Here is a 2,549-nt window from a genome sequence, read left to right on the forward strand (position 1 = left end):
CCTTGTTTTTAAAAGAAAATTGACTGTGTTGGCAAAAGTACTCATTTCCTCATTTTACCTTCCTGTTCTTGTCTATAAACTTACATAATTTATACATTATGTACTCATAGTGTAGATACAAATGTGGCATTCTGTATTTCATTTTCTTTACCATAAAATGTTTTTAAAAGTAATGATCATAAACTTGCTGACCAGCATGCACACTCTCACCTGGAAAACTGAACAGAGGTAACTGCTTTTTATGGAATTTAACAAGACAGTCATTCATTTATTTAACAAAATGCAAGCTCTTACAGCTCTACTTTATACTGAACTCTAACCAGATGAATCTAACATCCCACGGTCCTAAGATTTTGCATTACAAGTCATGCTATTTGTTTAAATAACAGGAAAAAAAAAAAGACAGAAACACTTTAGGAAGCCAATTTTCCTTGCTAATGAGCAGATACTAAAATAATGAGTATCTTCTGACTACCTTCCTCAAACCACTGAAAAGTTTACCCATTAATCATATGTGAACTTTGAAGCGTGGGTGGCTGGAGCTTCTCATAAGCACATCCTTAAAGATGAAACCACATATAAATTGCTAAAGGAATCACCCGGTGAAAGTCAGACTGTGATTAGTAGGTATGGGGAGGAAGGAGAAGTTGAAAGACCCAGGCTGGGGTCAAACCTCTTTCAGTTACGTTTTTAATCAAATTAAGTCAAAACTAACGTTTCATGTCTCTTTTGCTTATTATTGACAGCCGTGTTTAGCTCAGCCATCCCCCACTGAAGCGAACTGTGTCAGTGCACTGTCAGATGCAGCTTTGGAAGACAATTGCTGTCCCTGCTGGCTTCTTCCCTCACGTGCCTGTGTTTCAATGCCTGAGGGCTCCTCTGAGCCCACACACAGGACTGGCCAGAATTGCTGGGAGGTAACACCCCAGGACAGCCTCAACAGATGAGGGCTAGGAGCTGGTGAGTCCACCCGCCAGCCTCCTCACCGCTGCACAGTCTCTCAGAGGGGCCTTCACAGGACTGCGGCCCAGTTGTCCTCTGAGGTATCCTGCTCGGCAATGTGCCCTATGTGGCTTTTCTCTCTTCCCTGTCTCACTTCCTTACTCTGCCTCCTAGAATCATTTCTTAAATAGATGATTTGCCCAAAATCCTTTGCCTCAGGGTCCACTTTTGGGCTAACCGAACTAAGACATCTACAAAATTTTAGATAGGAATAGACTTTAAAGGGATCCTTTGACTTTTTTTTTTTGAAACAGCATCTCACTCTGTCACCTAGGCTGGAATGCGGTGGCGTGATCTTAGCTCACTGTAACCTCCGCCTCCCAGGTTCAAGCAATTCTCCTGCCTCAGCCTCCCGAGTAGCTGAGATTCCACACGCCTGACATCACACCTGACTAATTTTTGTATTTTTAGTAGAGACAGGGTTTCTCCATGTTGGCCAGGTTGGTCTTGAACTCCTGACCTCAGGTGATCCGCCCGCCTTGGCCTCCCAAAGTGCTGGGATTACAGGTGTGAGCCGCTGTGCCCAGCCTCCTATTGCTACTTTTTAACAGAAATCTCTGTGTCTGACTCAGACCCAGAGAAAAGAAACCACAGTGATCAGAGTCATACACAAGGGGGTGCCCTCTAGCAGGTTCGCCTGAGGTTGTCCGCCTCCCGCCTCATGCTATTAACATTCCATAAACACGCCATGGCAGAGAGCAGGGCACTGCTGAAGGTTTACATGCGGTAACTGATTTCATTCTCACAACAACCACGTGAGATGAGTGCTGTTACTGTCCTCATTTTACAGAGGAGAAACCGAGCATTTAAACTAATTTGACCAAGGGCATAGGGCTAGAAAGGTGGTGTTTAAGAACATCCCAGTGCTTTCTAGCCCTTTCTAATCCAAGGGCTAGAATGCTGGAATTGGGATTCCAGCCCAGGCAGCCTGGTTCCAGATTCAAGGACACAGCCCTGAGCATGTGAGGGTATCTGAGAGCTGCCTGCTTGATTTGGGGGTTACCATGTGTAGAGAAAGGAAAGAAGATGGTCTATGTAACATCTTCAAATGCTTGAAGGCTTTGAGCAATGAACCTCCTTGGTGGTTGGGTGAAGAATTCTATAATGAGTGGATTCTTTCCCAGAATAGTACTTTTTTTTTTTTTTTTTTGAGACAACTTCTTGGCTCTGTCACCCAGGCTGGAGTGCAGTGGTACAAACACAGCTCAGTGCAGCCTCGACCTCCCGAGCTCAAACAGTCCTCCCACCGCAGACTCCTGAGTAGCTGGGATCACAGGCACGCACCACCACAACCAGCTAATTTTTTCATTATTATTATTTTTAGTAGAGACAAGGTCTTACTGTGTTGCCCAGGCTAGTCTCAAACTCCCGGACTCAGGCAGTCCTCCTGCTTTGGCCCCTTAAAGTGTTGGGATTACAGGCATGAACCACCATGCCCAGCCAGAATAGTATTTTTAAGTGCATAAAAGAAAACACATAGGATTACAAAGGAAACCAATTATACTGAAATGCACTTATCAAAATGTTCCCCCAAACTGTGACACAGC

The 2,549-nt window shown here is 44.5% G+C and overlaps 1 annotated feature.

The window, feature by feature from the left end:
* Positions 1,462-1,521: a silencer, noted in NCBI's record as "silent region_14106". NCBI's record gives its function as "represses an Ori minimal core promoter by ATAC-STARR-seq in GM12878 lymphoblastoid cells {active_cell/tissue: GM12878}" and the evidence as "EXISTENCE:reporter gene assay evidence [ECO:0000049][PMID:35858748]".

The sequence above is a fragment of the Homo sapiens genome, chromosome 3 (assembly GCF_000001405.40).
Source record: "Homo sapiens chromosome 3, GRCh38.p14 Primary Assembly".
Classification (NCBI taxonomy): Eukaryota; Metazoa; Chordata; class Mammalia; order Primates; family Hominidae; genus Homo; species Homo sapiens.